Genomic DNA, 18366 nt, shown 5'->3' with positions numbered 1-18366 from the left:
ATCTCTGACATCAGGGTCCCTCTCCTTCCTGTGGAAACCAAAAGTCAAGGTTGTGGAGAAACAGCTCAGGGCCACAGGTGGACCCCCCAGTAAGCAGATTCCAGGGACAAACTGAGGTCTCCAGGTGAGGGTCCCAAGTTGGATGCCCAGGGGTGTCTGAGGTAAATACTGTGGATGAGGTGCAAACTGTCCCGTCTGCGAAGGCCTCTAGCTGTGAAAGGGGACAGGGCCCCGGCCTGAGGAGGGGATCGGGTGGCTCAGTGGATAGGGTCTTAGCATCCCACTGGCACAGATTTTAGGGAAAATGGAGGTTTAACCTGGGAAGCAGCTGAGCTTCAGGAATGGGGGGCTGGGCCCAGAGTCTGGAGTTGAAGTTCTTCCCCCAGACCAGAGCGGGTGGCACTGGAAGCCACTGAGGAAGGGAGAGGCTAAAGGGGCCCACCCTGAAGTTGGTGCCTCCTCTATCTAACGGGTCATAGATGGAGGGCAAAGGTGTCTCTGGGGCCCAGGAGAGAGAGCCGATGACAAACGCCTTGCCCGGGGGGTAGGGTGGCAGTGGGGAGGGGCCTGGCTATATTTGACACCTAGAAAGCAGTCCCCACCCAGCACCATGGCCCTTGGTTGTTTATCTCTGTAACCAGGGCTTGATCCCTGGAGACGTGTTTGAGTCCCAGCTCTGTGTCCTGGGGCAAGTGACTGGGCCTTTTCTAGCCACAGGGCCTCGTCCATAAAATGGGCATAACAATCTATATAGAGTTGGTTTTGGGGATGAATGATATGAACGTGATAGCTCTTACTGTGCGCCAGGTACCATTCTAAGCGCTTCATATTGTTCATTTTTAATCCTCACAACAGCCCTATAAGCTAGATTGGATTTTTATCCTGAGGGCCTGAGTTGACATTGCCCTTTCCTGGGGAAAGGGTCATAGCCAAGAAGCTCAGAGGCCATCTGGCCTCTGGGGGAGTGGTTAGTTTTGTTGTTGTTTTAGGCTTTGCTGTGCTGGCCAGTGGAACTTCCTGTGATGATGGAAATGTTCTATATCTTGCTGTCCAGTGTGGTAGCCCTGAGCCACATGTGGGTATCGAGCACTTGAAATATGGCTTGTGAGACTGAAGGAACTGAATTTTAAATTTTATTTAATCTGAATCCATTTAAATTTAAATAACCACATACAGTTCGTGGCTACAGTGTGAGACTCTCTTGAACAGCACAGCTTTAGAGAGTACAAAGTACACCCACGTCCAGGTGCTCAGCTGACACTCACAACAGCTCTTTGAAGCAAGAATTATCAGCCCCATATCGTGGACGAGGCCACTGGCACACTGGTGGAGACATCTCAGCGAGATGACATGTGTCCAAGGTCATGCAGCTGAGATGTAGCAGAGCTGGGGTCAAACCAAACCAATCCTCCTGCCCCCGACCCCGTGTTCTTGCTACTACCCAGTAGCCAATGAGCAGGGGCTCTGAGCAGATGGTAGGAGCAGCCTGCATGGGGTGGTCGGGAGGGGCTGTTTCTAGAATCTCTCCCAGGCCTGCCCATTCTGAGTTTGGTCCCTTCCCAAAAGTAGGGGTTTTGTGTGGAAAATCTGAGCAAACCTCTGTTGACTGTTCTGGGGTGGAGTGAAGGGAGAAGGGGCTCAGCTAGGAACATGGGGAGATTAGGGGAACAATGCCTTTTATTTCTTGCTTTTAAAGCAATTTCAGGAGTTTTCTTCCTCTTTTGGCGTCCTGCTGACTCCACAGAGCGGAACACCCAAAGCTGGGACTTTCCACCTCTCTAATGCTCAGTGAAGAGCGGGCCAGGGGGGTGTGGAAAAGAAAGGGTCCTGGAGGAGCCCAAATTACGAATGGCTAGAGACTGGCATTGGCAAGCGAGGAGGCTTCGTCACAGTGTAGTCTTCCGGTTGTCCGAGGGTACTGTCCCAGGGGCTGGGGGGTATTCCGTCTTCTGCAGATCAACTCCCGCAGGCTAAATGTGGACATCGCGGTATCATGCTTGATAAACGGACCAATAATCAAGTGGAGATTCATTAGAACCACATAACCCATACTAGGTTGATTTCTCAAGTATAAGGCCTGGTCTGTTGCCCAGGCTGGAGTGCACTGACACCATCATGGTTCACTGCAGCCTCAAACTCCTGAGCCCAAGTGATCCCTCCCACCTCAGCCTCACAAGTAGCTAAGACTAGAGGTGTGCACCATCACACCCAGCTAATTTTTAAAGTTTTTTTTGTAGAGATGGGGTCCCACTCTACAAAATATATAAGTATAAGGCCTGGTCTGTTGCCCAGGCTGGGCAACCCTTGGACTAAGGCAATCCTCCAGCCTCAGCCTCCTAAAGTGCTGGGATTACAGGCGTGAGCCACCGCACCCACCTCTAGGATCTCTACTATTGAGGAAAAATTGGAGGCATCAAACTCCAAGGGCAAAACATGAAGACTCGCTGGCCCACCATGGATGGAGGTTTTCTCTCTTAAAATTCCCACAGCACCGCATGGAACTGCCTCTCCTGGGACCTCAGCGTTTCCTTCTTTGCTCTAAGCAATAGCCTCTGCCACTGGAGATTCTGAGATGGCCGATTTCCTTTTGGATATTTAAGTTTTGAAATCATGCTCATTTGGCATAGGAATGTTTCACTTCAGTCTCCTTTAAACAAAAGGACACACAACCACGATTGCCCCTCCCTCCCGAAGGGTCACTGGACTTCATGCATCAGTAATGTTTCCAAAAATATCTTAAGTACCAACATGCAGTGGCCAGCTTTTCATTTTTCCAAGTGAAGCCATCAGGAAAAAACAAAAAACAAAACTAATTACCACTTGTCATCACCTTTAATTAAAAAGAACATTTTAACTCCAAAAATGTAGAAAAGACATCATCTCAAAAGACACTCTTTAGATGGGAAAAATATAGCCTATGAAAAAGAAACAACCCAGGAAAGTGTTTCTTTTCCTGACTTTATGGCAGATGGGTAAAAACTGTCAGAACTGTCCCATTCATAGACAGGCACTGGAAGCCACCATCATGGACCATTTAGGGGTGACTTTTGGGGGAATGGAGAGAGAGGAGAGGAGTCTACATACTTCAATCCCATAATGCAAACACTCAGCTCAAAACACAATGCTTAATTTCCGTGAGGAAGCCAGGTAGTTCCAGGCATCTTGCCGAGACTTGTGAAAACAAGAGAGGATGCGAGTGAAGCCGGCGAGAGCTGGTTCTAAACCTCCAAAAACCTGAAACTTCTTGGAGGCTCTGCCTCAGCAGATTGGGCCTCTGCACAGCATCCTACATGGTTAATTCAGAAGGGTTACCTTCCTGAGGGGATTTTTCCCACCAACACGTCTGGCTGGTTTGGAAGCCTTTTAGAACTTGATTTACTAGGCTATTATATACTAAATGCCATTTCCACAGTTCCCCCTAACCACTCATTTCCCATGAGCTGTTTGTTCATTGTACCAACCAAAGTTTGCCAGCCCTAACCCTCACTGAAGACCTAATTCCCTGCTTGGAAAATGGTTTCTAGGAATGTGGGAACCCCCACTGGCCAGGGCTTCTCCCTCTGCAGGGCCCAGTCTTGTTCACCTTTCTGGCCTCGGCACCCAGTCTGATCAAGATAAGGTGCTCACTACATGTTTTCGGAATGTATTATTAGCAAGCAAGGCAGAACCAGAGCTAAGTGAGTCGTGGTGTGCCGTAGGGGCTTGGCTCACAGGGTTTGGGGTCTTGGATTTCTAGACAGTGAAAGATCTTATTTTATATATATATTTAATTTCAATAGCTTTTGGAGTACAAATGGTTTTTGGTTACATGGATAAATTGTTTAGTGGTGAAGTCTAAGATTTTAGTGCACCCATCACCGGAGTAGTGTACATTTTACCCAATATGTAGTTTTTTTTCCGCAACCCTTCCCACTCTTTCCCTTCTGAGTCTCTAAAGTCCATTGTATCACTCTGTATGCCTTTTCATACCCATAGCTTAGCTAGCTTAGCTCCCACTTGTAAGTGATGACATGTATTTGGTTTTCCATTCCTGAGCTACTTCACTTAGAATAATGGCCTCCAGCTCCATCCAAGTTGCTGCAAAAAGACATTATTTCATTCTTTTCTATGACTGAGTAATATTCCATGGTGTATATATATATCACATTTTCTTTTTCTTTTCTTTTTCTTTTTTTGAGGCAGAGTCTCACTGTCGCCCATGCTGGAGTGCAGTAGCACGATCTCGGCTCACTCCTGGGTTTAAGTGATTCTCCTGCCTCAGCCTCCCGAGTAGCTGGGATTACAGGCACCTGCCACCACACCTGGTTAATTTTTTGTATTTTTAGTAGAGATGGGGTTCACCACATTTTCTTTATCCACTCATTGGTTGATGGGCATTAAGTTGGTTCCATATCTTTGCAATCATGAATTGTGCTGCAGTAGACATACACGTGCGGGTGTCTTTTTGATAGAATGACTTCTTTGCCTTTACTCAGTAGTGGGATTGCTGGATTGAATGGTTGACCTACTTTTGGTTCTTTGAGAAATCTCCATACTGTTTTCCATAGGGGTGGTACTAATTTACATTCCCACCAGCAGTGTATAAGTGTTCCCTTTTCACCATGTCTGTGCCAACATCAATTGTTTTGTGACTTTTTAGTAATGGCCATTCTGGCTGGGATAAGGTGGTATCTCATTGTGGTTTTAATTTGCATTTCCCTGATGACGAGTGATGTTGAACATTTTTTCATATATTTGTTGTATGAAGGATCTTATTGTTAATGTGAAGGATGGGCTGTTCTCAGGGCTCAGGAGGGGAAGGATGGAAGCTAGACTGTTTTCCAAAGGCCATCCTCGGGGCAAGGACCACACACTCAGAGGTGGAAGCTGCATGACCTTCCTCTCACCCACGCCGGGCTTTGGGTCTCTGTGGCAGAGAGGTGTGGGTCCATGTGGGAGATCACTCAGGCCTTCCCATTCTATTCCCTCCCTAAAAAAACCCCAAGGCCGAGACCTGCCCTGGGCACATCTGCTTCCTCCATGTTCACTAGCACTGGCGTGGCTGCTGGGCTGGCCCCAGCTGACCATGTTTCCAGTGGTGGTGGTGACAGGGGCCTGGCAGGTGGTCAGGTGGGGACTAAGTATGCTTGGGCAGATGGAGGGGTGGCCAGGCCAAAATCCTGCCGTGGTGGCAGTTTGTGTTTGGGGAAGTGCTCTGGGTTACAATTCTCTGACATGGTTTTACCTAGAGGCCTGGAGCCTGCCAGGAAGAGGTGCCTGGGCATGAAGAAAAATGCTCTGGCCTCAGAGCCCAACTTGTGGTTGGAATGCTATTAAAACCTGTTATTTCCCATGCTCTCTGCTGATAGACTGGTCTTGAGTGCCCTTGGTGCACAATGTCCAATTTATTCATCCTTTGTGTCTCTGGTCAGCATCACCTCCTCCAAGAAGCCTTCCCTGACTTTCCCTACTCCCTGCCTCAGCCTGGGTTAGAGGGTCCAGCTGACATAGCACTTGTCATATAACTTGTGTGTTCTACTTTCCGTGTCAGACAGTGTGCTGGAGACACTATCACAAGCTTCACATCCAGTGAGTGCTCTACGAATGCTCATTGGATAAGCCCATGAGATGACGTACATCCTCCATCATTATTTAAAAATTCTGTGTGGGCTTTGGAAGGGTGTGTGGTCCTGGGGTCTCCACTGTCAGGGCCAATTGAGATGTGCAGTTTCTCAGGGCAGAGTTCCCAAGGGTGCATTTGGTGGCTGACTTGAAGCCAACAGATCCCCTTTATTTCCTTATCAGCTCTGGGCCAAGGCTCAGAAATAGTAGAGAGGAAGAAGAAGAACCATGCCCACCCTTCTGGGAGTCAGTGGGGGTGGAAAGAGCCTGGGCTTCTCAGTCACATAGAACTAGATTTGAATCCTGGCTCCACCATTAACTAGCTGGGTGACCTCAGGCAAGTCTCTTAACCTCTCTGAGCTTCAGCAGCATTATCTGTAAAATGGGAATCATAGTCACACCTGCTGCATAGAATTGTCGAGAGGCTTCAGTGAGAGCGTGTATGCAGAGCACGGTGCCAGGCCTATTGTCACACTCATCAGACAGTATCTGCCATAATAAAAATAATAATAATCATGTTATTGTTAGGCATATGTTAGGAGCTAAAGTTACAAAGAGGTGTAAGAGACAGTCACTACACTTCAAGGGGCTGACTATATGAGTCAGGAAATTGAGACACATGCATAAAAAAACTAATGGCAGCGGCCTCGTGCGGCGGCTCACACCTGTAATCCCAGCACTTTGGGAGGCCGAGGTGGGCGGATCACCTGAGGTCGGGAGTTTCAGACCAGCCTGACCAACATGGAGAAACTCCGTCTCCAATAAAAATACAAAATTAGCAGGGCATGGTGTCAGGCGCCTGTAATCCCAGCTACTCGGGAGGCTGAGGCAGGAGAATCACTTGAATCTGGGAGGCGGAGTTTGTGGTGAGCCGAGATCGCGTCATTGCATCCAGCCTGGGCAACAAGAGTGAAACTCCGTCTCAAAACAAAAACCCAAAAAACAAAAACAACAACAACAAAAACTAATGGCAGTATGCAGGGCACGCCCAGTGAATGGCAAACACGACAAGTGTTTTTCCTGTTAATCAAAGGAGGGAGCAGCTGCTGAGAGGTGGGTGTCCAGCATGGGGAAGTGGGTCTTGAGGGAACAGTAGGAGCCAGGTAAATGGAGAGCAAGTGGGAAAGAAGAGAGGACATAGCACATGCAAAGACAGAGAGAAGACAGAGCAGAGGCTACCTGGGGCCACAGCCAGCAGGCCAGCTCGGCTGGAGCACATTGGCTTAGAGGAATGTTAGAGGGGATGAGACCAGGAGGGTCTTCAGCGCTCGTCTATGGACTTGAATCCTGAAGACATCAGGGAGCCATTGAAGGTCTCTGTGACATGGGCCAGGTGGAATTTTGGAGATGTTTATCCCGGCCAGCCCCTGGTTTGGATTCTGGTACTCTTCTCAGAAAGGAGAGTTCAGCTCACAAAACCCAGGAACCTGCTCTGGGTAGCTGTGCCTGGTAGTTTCACAGGTGCCCTTAGGATCCCTGAGATGACAGGGTCTGTGTATCTGCCTCCTCTTCCTCACTGACCTTGCCTACACCTCCTCCGCCACCAGACCCTGGCCTTCCTGGGTCTCTGGCGGCTTCTCGAGTATGCCACGTTCCTTCCAGCCTCCACAGCCTGGTCTTCGCCTCGTCCTCTGCTTGGGAAACTGCCCAGGTCTTTGGGGGTTCGCTTCCTTTGCACGCTCCCATCTCTCTCTTCAGAGAGGTGCCCTGGCCGCCCCATCTGAGTCTCCTGGTTCGGCCTGGACCCCTGCATCACCTGGGTTGTCTTCACAGCCCTTGAAACTGCCTGAGGCCACATCATGCTATTGTTTTCTTGCTTCCTGTTGGTGTCCTTTACTCGACCGCAAGCCCCAGATGGACAAGGACTTTGTCCCAGTGCCTGACATTCACTAGGGCTCAACAGCTATTTGTTGAATGAATGAGCGACAGATGGATGAGGCATTGGGTTTCGAGGGTGCGGTGTGAGCCAGACCATGCTTCCGGGGCTCACATGTGTTCCCCAGTGGAGGTCCTGGTGGGGGAGGGGCCGGACTCCATATCCCAGTGTGTGCCTCTGCGTGGAATGTTCCCTTGGCCATTAATCATGGGATGTGGCTCTGGACTTTGCAAGGGGGTGAAGGACAGTGAAGAGAGGAGTCAGCCTGGGGAGCTGGTGGCTAATGCTGCATAGGGCTAACCGGGAGGAGGGCCTGGTTTCAGCTCCACCTTGCCTCCGGCTGGACCCACAGCCCAGGAGGCAGAATCCAGAGAGAGCCTGAGCCTGAACAGAGGCCCCACAGAGCGGGGCACTTACCTGGCCGGCAGCGGCTGTGGTGCCGGCAGCTATATTCTGGCCACCGTGCTTTCTCTGGCCGCAGTCGAGAGTTCTGCCTTGCTAAGGAGGGTGGGAGATGGAGAACAATGGGAAGGAGAGGAGAGACCGTCAAGCTGAAGGTGCCTTTGAAGGACCCTTAGAGTCCTCCAGCCTCCTTAGTTCACCCCTCCCGTGATTTAGGCGCAAATAGAGGCTCAGTGAAGTCAAGACCATGCAGCTCACAAGTGACAGGAAAACCCCAGCAACTCAAACCGCTTGAATTTCAGGCCAGTGTTGGGCCCTTTCCCGCAAAAGAGACTGATTCATTCATCCATTCGCTCCATGTTTACTGAGAATCTACTCTGTGGCAATCCCTAGTCAAAGTTCCGGGGCCGCTGTCTGTCCTCAGGGGGCTTCCAGTCTGGTGGGAGTGAACATTTCAGTATAGACACAGTGTCAGGCAGTGCACTTCCTCTTCAGGGTGTGCTGTGGGACGTGGTGGTGTGAGCCACTCTGCAGCTGGCCATATAGTCTTTGGTTGTCCAGAGATCAGAGGTGAACAAGTCCTGGGGGTCTGTGGATGGAGGTGGGAGAGACATGGGTCAGGGAGCCCCCTGAGGCCAGGAGAGTGGCTTCCTGCTTGAGCGACAGGGTTGCAGCACTCAGGAGGGCCCTTCTGACAGGAAGGTGTGGGCAGCTGTGGTCTCAGTGCCCTATGGCCACTGCTGTCACCTCTCTCCCTGTGTCCTCAGCCGTTTGCGAGCCGCCGTGCCAGAACCGGGGCTCCTGCAGCCGCCCGCAGCTCTGTGTCTGCCGCTCTGGTTTCCGTGGAGCCCGCTGCGAGGAGGTCATTCCCGATGAGGAATTTGACCCCCAGAACTCCAGGCTGGCACCTCGACGCTGGGCCGAGCGTTCACCCAACCTGCGCAGGAGCAGTGCGGCTGGAGAGGGCACCTTGGCCAGAGCACAGCCGCCAGCACCACAGTCGCCGCCCGCACCACAGTCGCCACCAGCTGGGTAAGTCCCCTTCTCCATGGGGCTTGGGGTCTGGGGCTCAGTCTCTTTTTGGAGGGGCTTCTTCCTTTGGACCGTTTGGTGAAGGCTGGTGGAGAAGGCCGCAGAGTCCTCCCTTCTCTCCTCCCCACCCTCCTTGGCTTTCCCTGGCATGGCCAGAGATATGAGCAGGAGAGTAGGTGTTGGGGCTGGCATGGGCTTTGCCAGCCTGGGGTGGGAAGAGGAGGAGGGAAGCGAAGTCTTTGCCCTCGAGTGCCTGAAAGAAAGCTGAGGAGGGCGTGTACCTGGGACCACGGCTTCTTGGTTCACAGCCTGGCTTTGCCATTTCCCAGGTGGGCCACCCCAGGCGAGTCACTTACCTCTCTGTGCCTCGGATTCTGCATCAGTAAGGTGGGACAATGATAATACCTGTGCTATGAATTGTCGTAAAGATTAAATTAGTCAATATAAAGAAAGTGCTTAGAACAGTGCCTGGCACATATGGAAGCTCTTTATACTTGTTCTCCCACACCCCATCCTGACCTCCTCCTCCTCTGCCTGTGGTCCCTGTGATGTAGGAAGGACTCCTCTGCCAGAAGAAGACCCTTCGGTTTCCTCGGCACCCAGCTTCAGCCTCTCTCCTTAGAGGGGAGAAGAAGGAGCATGTGGGAGAAGGGAGTAGAAAGAAAAGTGAACAAGGGGAGTGTTCATGGGCAGGATTCCCTGGCCTGCTTGCCAGCCCATCTGGCTAGACTTTTTCTAGCTCAGGACAGGAAATCTGAACTTTATAAACGAGTCCATTTCTAGGGGACTGTGTTTTCCTTTTCGTTTTTCAGGTTAGTTTTTCCATTCGCTTTCTGCTTAAGAAGTTCTTTCTGAAATGTTGCAACCTTGCCTTGCTGAACTAAAGGGAAAGAGGATTTGCTCTTTCAGAGCCCAGGAGAACCAGGGAGAGGAGGCCGACCTTGAGGTTAGGTTCCAGCAGGAAAGGTTAGGAGAGACTGGCTGAGTTGGAGGGAGAGCAAAGAAAGGAGGTTGAGGGTGTCCAGGAACTCTGAGAGTGGGTGAGGTCAGGCGGACCAGGATCTTGGTGAGCTGGGTTCCGGGGCCCTGGTCACCCAAGCAGATGTTTTCCAAGGGCAGCTAGGAGCAGGAAGAAAGAAAGGATGGACTCAGGTCAAGGGCCTAGGGAACTCCAAGGTCAAGAGCAAAAGAGCCAAACCCTGCAGCCAAGGCCCAGGGGTGCTGCAGCAGAAACAAGGAGCAGAGCTAAGGGTCCCAGGTGGATAACAATGAGGGCCTGGGATTGGCAGTGAGCAGGTGGGCAGTGCCGGTGCCTTGTTCTGATCGGTCCTGGCTGAGGGTCCTAGGTGGTAAGCCTGGTGTAAGGCACCTGGAGGAATACTAGAGGTGCCAGTTCAAGGGCCAGCCAGGGCAGGGGTGGGCACAGAGTCCTTCCAGCAGAGCTTCCCCCATCTCTTTTGGCTTGTGGGATTCATTTATTTATGATGCACTGATCCCATGTAGGTGTGTGCTAGGAGCAGGGGTTGCTGGGCAAGTCACTCTGCCTCTCACACTCTTGAATCTTGAGTCAGAGCCGTTTGAAGTCCCCTGCTGCATCTTCCCACCAGTCTGACTCCTCCCCATTCTTCAAGGTGAATCACATTCACTAGGCTCTCTGGCCCCTGCAGCACTTACTCTCTGGCATGCATCTGCGCCCTGCACCCCCAGCTGCTTGTAGACCCAGTGGCCTGTGCTCTGGATTTCTCTACAGCCCCCCTGCATAGTGCCTGGCCCATCAAAAATGCTCAGTCCATATTTGCTCTGACACTGGGTCCAAACTACAGTTAGCCTAACAAAAGGGCCTACTTGGCGCTGAACCCTCAGCTGTACCTGCAGCCAAGGGCACCACCCCATGTGTTGCTCAGAGGGCAGGAGGAGGTGAGGCCCCTGCCGGTTCCCATGGTGGGTTCTCCATTTTTCCCTAGCGCAGCACTTTTCACCCTGCCTTCAGATGATCTGTCCATTTGCTCACTGGACCAGGAGCTACCCGGGAGCTCACAGGGACTGTGTTCTGCTCATTCAAAATTGTGTCCCTGGTACCTAACACCATGCCTGGCACACTTCTGTGCTCAATCAGTGTAAGTTAAATGGATAAATAAATGAGGCTAGGTGATGGGGAGAGGGGAGGCTGCAAGGCCAGGAGGATGGGCAGTGTGAGCCTTCTATCCCCCAGTGAAGGTTTCCTGTGTGTGACAGGCAGTGGAGGGCCAAGGTCCTGGGTGAGGTCTCTGGCCCACAGCAGGGCTGTCCTCTTTGACTTTCACAGGCTCCCTGGCCAGGGGCTACTGTGATGTTCTTAATGAGCTGCAGCCTCCAGGCCAGCCTAGTCTCTCTGTGCCCTGGGGCCTCAATGCCATGAAATCTGGGAGTGCCCTACTGTTGGCCCAGCTGCTGGCCCAGCTGTGTTTTGCTTTAGGAGGCCAAATCCTGCTTGCCTGGTGGTGTCAGACATTTCCTGTGACCTTGGCCAGGTTTCTCAAGCAGTTGCTGGCCTCTCTCCTGATAGCAACTTGGACAAGCCCTGTGTGTCCAGATAGAGGTGGTGACATGACACAGGGGGCATTCTAGGAGTTGGGGAGGGAAATGTCTGGGGAGGGGAACACTGCAGGGATTGGTGATGGCCAGAGGCCCTCTTTAGGAGAGCAGGCAGAGACCGAGAGACTTGTGTCCTGGAGGAAGACCAGAGGGAGAGGCCAGGAGTGTCCCAGGCAGCAGGCAGGGTGCCCTACAGAGGGCCAGATGTGGACTGATGCTGTCCAGCTGTTGTCTGGGCTGACTGGAGGGGCCTGGAGACTCCCTTGAGCCTCATGTCCTGGCTTCTTCCCCAAGGCTGGGCAGAGTACCTGCCTCACCTGGAGATCAAAAGCCAGGCAGCTGGGAAGGGCCTGGAGAGATGGGAGAGGGCTGGTTACAGGAACCTGCAACCAGCAGGCTTTGGAAAGCAGTGGTTTAGACCAGCACTTCTCAAACTGAAACCAGTAGGTAAGTCACCTGGGAACTTGTCAACATGCAGGTTCTGATTCGGCAGGTCTAGGATGATCAGCTCTAACGTGGTCCCACAGGATGCTGATGCTACTGGGCCACGGACCATATTTTGAGTAGTGAGGGTTAGAGCCCGGGCTTTGGTGCATTCTAATTCTGGATTTAGCACTCACCAGCTGTGTGTTAACAGGCACTCATCCTAACCTCTCTGAGCCAATAGTGTCCACCTGATAGGATGACAGGAAAGATTAAATGAGACCATGTGAGTAGAACACTTAGTGTGGTGCCTGATATGAATTAGTGTTCAATACATGATAGCTGTCAATGGGCAGGATCTCTTTGCTGTGAGGACTTGGGTGGATGGGAGGAGGTGGCAACAAGCAGAGAGAGGAAACTGGAGTGTGTGTGTGTGTGTGTGTGTGTGTGTGTGTGTGTATGTATGTGTGTGTGTGCATGTACACAGAACAGGTGTAGACCTGTTCTGGGAAGAAATCAGAGCCCAGACTCAGCCTCAGTGGTCAGCAGGTCCAGTAGTGGCTTTGGCTGGCTTGGGATACAGTTATTCCACCAGGACCATTGTCACCAGCCCTAGGGAAGAGGAGGTTAAGGGGAGGTGTCAAGAATGGGAGGGACCTCCACTGGGTTTGCTCTAGACCTGAGGACCTAGAGGCTGAGCCCTGGAGACATCCTACACAGGCTTGAGAAGAATCACTTGAACCCAGGAGGTGGAGGTTGCAGTGAGCTGAGATGGCACCATTGCACTCCAGCTGGGGTGACAAGAGTGAAACTCCATCTCAAAAAAAAAAAAAAAAACAACAACCCTAGGCAGGCTTTGTCACAACATGGGCAACAAGGGGCCTGAAGGCAGTGCTGAGCCCTGAGTGGGGTGGCTGGGGTGTGTCTGGGGAGCTGTGACCCTGTGGTGGTGGCTTCCAGCAGGCTGCTCCTGCCTGGTCGCTCCCTCTCCTCTGGATCTCTTCCTCTCTGCACACCCCACCTCTTTATCCACTGTATTCGTTTTCTATGGCTGCCATGACACACGATCACAAAATTAGCAGGTTAAAACAACACACATTTATTTCTGTACAGTTGTATAGGTCACACATCTGAAACGGGTCTCACCAGGCTGAAATCAAGGTGTCAGCAGGCTCCTGGGGCTCTAGGGGGGCTCGGTTTCCTCGCTCATTCAGGTTATCTGCAGAATTCAGTCCCTTGCAATTGTAAGACGGAGGCCCCATTTCCTTGCTAGCTGTCACTTGAGGGCCATATCAGGAGCTGCCCTCATTCCTTGGCTTGAGGCCACCTTCCTCCATCTTCAAGGCCAGCAGCAGCAGGTGGACTCCATGTTTGGATCTCCCCTCTGCCTGCCTCTTTGGCTGTCTGTCTCCCTGACTCACTCCCTTGCCTCCCTCTTCTACTTTTAGGGGCCTATGTCATGACCCTGGGCCCACCAAGATAATCCAGGACCATCTCTCTATTTTAAGGTCAACTGATTAGCAACCTTAACTCCATCGGTAACCCTAATTTCCTTTTGCTATTTAATATAACATATTCAAAGGTGTAACCCCAGGAACAGAGATCATGGGGGCCAACCACACCCACTCACTACAGCACATTCCAACTGGGACCCTTGTCCAAAGTGGAAGAGCTCCCTCTTATCAAGGGCTTGCCACAAGGGTGGCCCTATGTGATCTGGCCCCAAAGCCTGTCTGACATCCCCAGTGTCCACCCTCACCACTCACAGCCCGTGTTCATCCTGCTTCTGCTCTGCCAGCTGACTGTATTTTCCTCAAATGTGCTGGAGATGCTCCCACCTCAGGGCCTTGGCACTTGCTATCCCCCTCCCTGGAGCCCTGGAATTATTATTATTATTTTTTTTTGAGACAGGGTCTCACTCTGTCACCCAGGCTGGAGTGTAGTGTCACAGCTCACTGCAGCCTCGACCTCCTGGTCTCTTGCAATCCTCCCATCTCAGCCTCCCAAGTAGCTGAGACTACAGGTGTGCACCACCATACCCAGCTAATTTCTGTATTTTTTTATAGACGTGGTTTCACCATGTTGCCCAGGCTGGTCTCCAACTCCTGGGTTCAAGCGATCCTCCTGCCTTGGCCTAAGTGCTGGGATTACAGGCGTGAGCCACTGCACCTGGCCCCTGTGTTAGTTTTCTAAGGCTTCCATAACACACTGAGTGGCTTAAAATAGCAGAAATTTATGCTCTTATAGCTCAGGAGCTGGAAGTCCAAAAATAAAGGTGGCAGGATTGGTTCCCTCTGAGACTCTGAGGGAGAAGGTTCTGTGCCTCTCTGCTAGCATATCTGTTGGCAATCCTTGGCCTTCCTTGGCTTGTAGCTGCATGACCTTGACCCCGCCTCAGTCATCACGTGGCCTTCTTCCTTGTGTGTGTCTGTGTGTCTCTGTGTTGTCTTCTTCTTATAAGGGTTCAGCCATTGGATTTAGGGTCCTCCCTAATCCAGTGTGAAGTCATCTAAACCTAACAACATCTACAAAGACTCTATTTCCAAACGAGGTCACATTCATAGGTCCGGGGTTAGGACTCACGTCTTCATGAGGACACAATTCAACCCGCATCAAAACACTCTTCCCCTCACACTCCCGTGGCTTCTTCTCCCCTTTCCTTTGTAGTGGGGCCCTCTCTGTCCACCACATCTAAAACCATGCCCTCCACATCCTCCCCACCTCCCACCTGGCATTTTTCTCTGCAACACTAACGTCTTAGGTATTTTACCTATTTATTTGAATTCTTCTTCTTCTTACCCCAAGAAAGCGTCAGATGTGGGAGGACAGGGGTTTTTCTCTCTTTTCTTGGCAGAAATCTCTCCAGCACCTCGAGCATGACTCAGCCCATTGTAGCATTGAGTAAATACATGCCCAGAGTATGGTTGAGTCAATTAGCTGTCTACACCCATTTTGCTTTACGTCTACAATCGGCTGTCTACATCCATTTTGTTTTACATCTCACAACTCCCTACAACAGGTGGCCAGGGTTGCCGTTCTGTTGGTGAGGAGAGGCTCAGAGAGGGGAGGTAGCCTGTCCTTACCCCTTCCCAGCCTGGTATTTCCAGCACCTGTCCTCTGCCTGCACTAATCTCTCTGAGTTTTTGTCCGTGGGGAGACAGGGAAGGGCCAGGGCACCAGGGCAGCTCTTGTTGGAGGTCCAACCTCAGGTGGTGAGTGCCAGGACTGCTGGGAGCGTATGGCAGCATGTGCCTGCATGTGGGTGGTCACCTGGGCAGAGGCTCCCTACCTCAGAGCAGAACCCTGCCTTGCCTCAGCCTCCACGGCTCCACAGGAGCCCTGTTGGCACTTTTTGGCATGACCTTTAACCTACTGATGCTGAGAGTGATTGGCATGACCTTTAACCTACTGCACTGAGAGTGAGCCCACGGGTTTCCCGTGGCAGTGCTGCCTGCCTCCACCCAAGACCTTGACTAACTTTCCTGTTGGGAGCACAGGGACTCTGCTCCCAAGTCGGTGGTCTCTCTAAGTCTGAGGGAACGGAGGGAACTATCAAAAGATTGCTGCCCCAGAGCCACTGCCGGGGAGACCCAGGCATCCCTTCCTAGGGGCAAAGGTGCGGGGAAGGCAGCACCCCCTGGTTGACAAAATGGCAAGGGGTTTTCCCAGTGACGAGGCAGAATCAGAAACTAGGTGCTGGGGCCAGGCGCAGTGGCTCACACCTGTAATCCCAGCACTTTGGGAGGCAGAGGTGGGTGGATCACCCGAGGTCAGGAGTTCGAGACGAGCCTGGCCAACATGGCGAAACCCCGTCTCTACTAAAAATACAAACAATTAGCCAGGCATGGTGGCAGGCGCCTGTAATCCCAGCTACTTGGGAGGCTGAGACAGGGGAATTGCTTGAACCCGGGAGGCAGAGGTTGCAGTGAGCCAAGATCACGACATTGCACTCCAGCCTGGGCAACAAGAGCAAAACTCTGTCTCGAAAACAAACAAACAAAAAGCCTAGGTGCCAGGAACAGAGTGGCTGGGAACAGACACCCAGCCTGGGGACCTCAGTGTGGCAGCTTGTAAATTGTGTCCCCTTCCCCCAGTGCCAGCAGCAAAGGGGTTGGGGTCAGGGAGGACACAGGACAAGGCTCCCTGCAGGGCTGTTGTGGACAGGTCTGCTGATGATATCGTGAACCTAGAGGCGGGTTCAGGCTTGGCTGGCAGGAAGGAGGCCGTGTGGCACTGTTATGGGGGAGTGCAGACTAGTTTCTGACTGGGGCAGTGCTGGGTGCCCTGAGGATTAGAGTCTGGTGGCTGGATGAGGGGACATGAGTAGGGTGCCTGGTGGCCCAGTGTGTGTGTCAGGGGAGCCCGGGGCAGGGGGGTTAAATTTGGTGTTAGGCAGAATGTAAATCCTGATGCCCTCACAAACTTTGCAAGCCCCTTTACCTCCCTGAAACTCAATTTCTTTGACCTTGATGTGGGAAAATGAATGTCCATCTTCTACGATGGTTGGGAGAATTTACTGAAATAATGTAGCACGATTCGCGGGGTGTCTGCCACACAGTCGGTCCAATAAACCTGAAATCTCTTGGCCTACCTGCCTACTCCATGTGCTTATGACAGATCAGTGTGGAACACCTCATTTGCCAGGATGAGTTTTTCTGCACCTCACTGTCTGGGCTTATAGCTGGGGAAACTGAGGCAGGATGCAGGTTGGCCACTAGGTTGTGGGCCCACCTGAAGGCCTGCCCTGGCCTTCTGAGCCTGGCTCCTGCTCCAGCCCCTCCCACCGCTGCCACCCTCCCCTCTGGGCTTCTGTGTGCTGCTGCGGGCCTTCTGCTTGTTCCTTTGGGCTACGTGGCCCCCTCTTTGTCTTTCTTCCTTCTCATTCAAGTCCCTTGGACCCAAGATTGTTCTCTGATTCAGCTGTGACGTGCCAGAAGACCAACGTGTGCTCGGAGACCTTGGGAAAATCTTCTGCCCTTCCTGGGCTTGTTCCCGCATTTGTAAATCAGAGGGCTAGTGTGGATCTCCTCTAAGCTCAAGAGCTAATGGTCAGCTGGGCGCGCTGGCCATGCCTGTAATCCCAGCACTTTGGGAGGCTGAGACAGGCGGATCACTGGAGGTCAGGAGTGCAAGACCAGCCTGATCAACATGGAAACCCCATTTCTACTAAAGATACAAAAATTAGCTGGGTATGGTGGTGGGCATCTGTAATCCCAGCTACTTGGGAGGCTGAGATGGGAGAATGGCTTGAATCTGGGAGGTAGAGGTTGCAGTGAACTGAGATTGCGCCACTGTACTCCAGCCTGGGCAACAGAGTGAGACTCTGTTTCAAGAAAAAAAAAAAAAAAAAAAGAGATAATGGTCTAGGATTCCGGCCAGCCTGGCCATCTTCCATCCCTAATGGTGAAATGTGCTCATTCTCCCCTTTGCCTGTTTCCAAGGTTGTGACAAGAACATGTGAGCCTCTCACCAGGGCAGACCTTCGCTGTCCCTGACACCTTGGCAAGCCTGCAGAGGGCTAAGCAGCCTGCATCTTCTGTGCTGTGTCACCCATTTCCTCATGGCCACTGAGTTCTCTTTCTCTGCGGGGTTAACTCAAACCTACAAATCTGTGGTGGCCTCCGAGGGTTGAGCCCTTCTCTCTCTTTCTTTTCTTTTTTTAGCCTTTTTTTCTTTCTTTTTCCTGACCTGTTTGTATAACTCTGATTCCCAAAATTGCTCCTTGGGTTTTTCTGGAATTCCCCCAACACTTAGGACCTTGAAAACTATTTTGAATAGACTCGGAATCAGTAAACCCAATTTTGGCCTCTTAGTTACTAACTGGCCTTGTGACCTTGGGCAAGCCACTTAACATCACTAAGCATTAATGTCCCTTTCTGTAAAATGAGAGGGTTAATTCTCCCCTCACTGGGATGTTGTGAGAATTAACTAAGACGTGTGTGAAAGATTGCTTTGTGAGTTTTAACATGCCTTGCAAATGCTTGTTATTACTTTTTAGCTGTCCTGACACTGGGCTTGGGTATTTGCTCATGCCTGGTATATGTACAGAAGCCACTTTTAGGAAGAAGCTCCTTAATGAGGCCCTTGAGGAAATAGTTTAGAGGAAATCTTTTAATTTTAAGCTTAGGGAAGGACATCCCCTGTTGTGTCCATCTTAACACAACAACAGGGGATGTCCTTCCATCATATCATACTCTCTGTGACAGGTACCCCAAGAGTTGTACAGTGTACAGCGTATGCAGCTGTATGTGGTGACCCCAGACCTGGCTTCTTCCCTAGAAGGAGATGTCTCCCATTTTTCCAATATTTAATATTTTCAAACCTCAACTTGAGAGTCCTTTCCTCTGGCTCACTTTTTATTTCCACAGTACTTTCTATTTTCCACTTTCTAACGTAGCATATAATTTACTTATTTATTACATTGGTATATAATCCATTTTTCCCAGTTACTATATTCC

At 51.4% G+C, this 18366-nt stretch overlaps 1 protein-coding gene across 1 annotated transcript in view, besides 1 other annotated feature; it reads left to right on the top strand.

Annotated features, from left to right (window-relative positions):
• LTBP2 (latent transforming growth factor beta binding protein 2) overlaps positions 1 to 18366 on the top strand; it is a 114055-nt gene that overhangs the window by 17473 nt on the left and 78216 nt on the right. The window contains exon 3 of the mRNA NM_000428.3: positions 8647 to 8911. Within this exon, the coding sequence (NP_000419.1) occupies positions 8647 to 8911 (265 nt within the window). The remainder of the gene's footprint in view (positions 1 to 8646; positions 8912 to 18366) is intronic.
• Positions 11338 to 11530: a silencer, noted in NCBI's record as "fragment chr14:75049938-75050130 (GRCh37/hg19 assembly coordinates)". NCBI's record gives its function as "represses an EF-1alpha promoter that drives an FKBP-Casp9 reporter gene in an ReSE screen in HepG2 liver carcinoma cells {active_cell/tissue: HepG2}" and the evidence as "EXISTENCE:reporter gene assay evidence [ECO:0000049][PMID:32094911]".

The sequence above is a fragment of the Homo sapiens genome, chromosome 14 (assembly GCF_000001405.40).
Source record: "Homo sapiens chromosome 14, GRCh38.p14 Primary Assembly".
NCBI classification, from domain to species: domain Eukaryota; kingdom Metazoa; phylum Chordata; class Mammalia; order Primates; family Hominidae; genus Homo; species Homo sapiens.
Note: the sequence above shows the minus strand (reverse complement) of the source record. Positions and strands in the feature narration are given on the sequence as shown.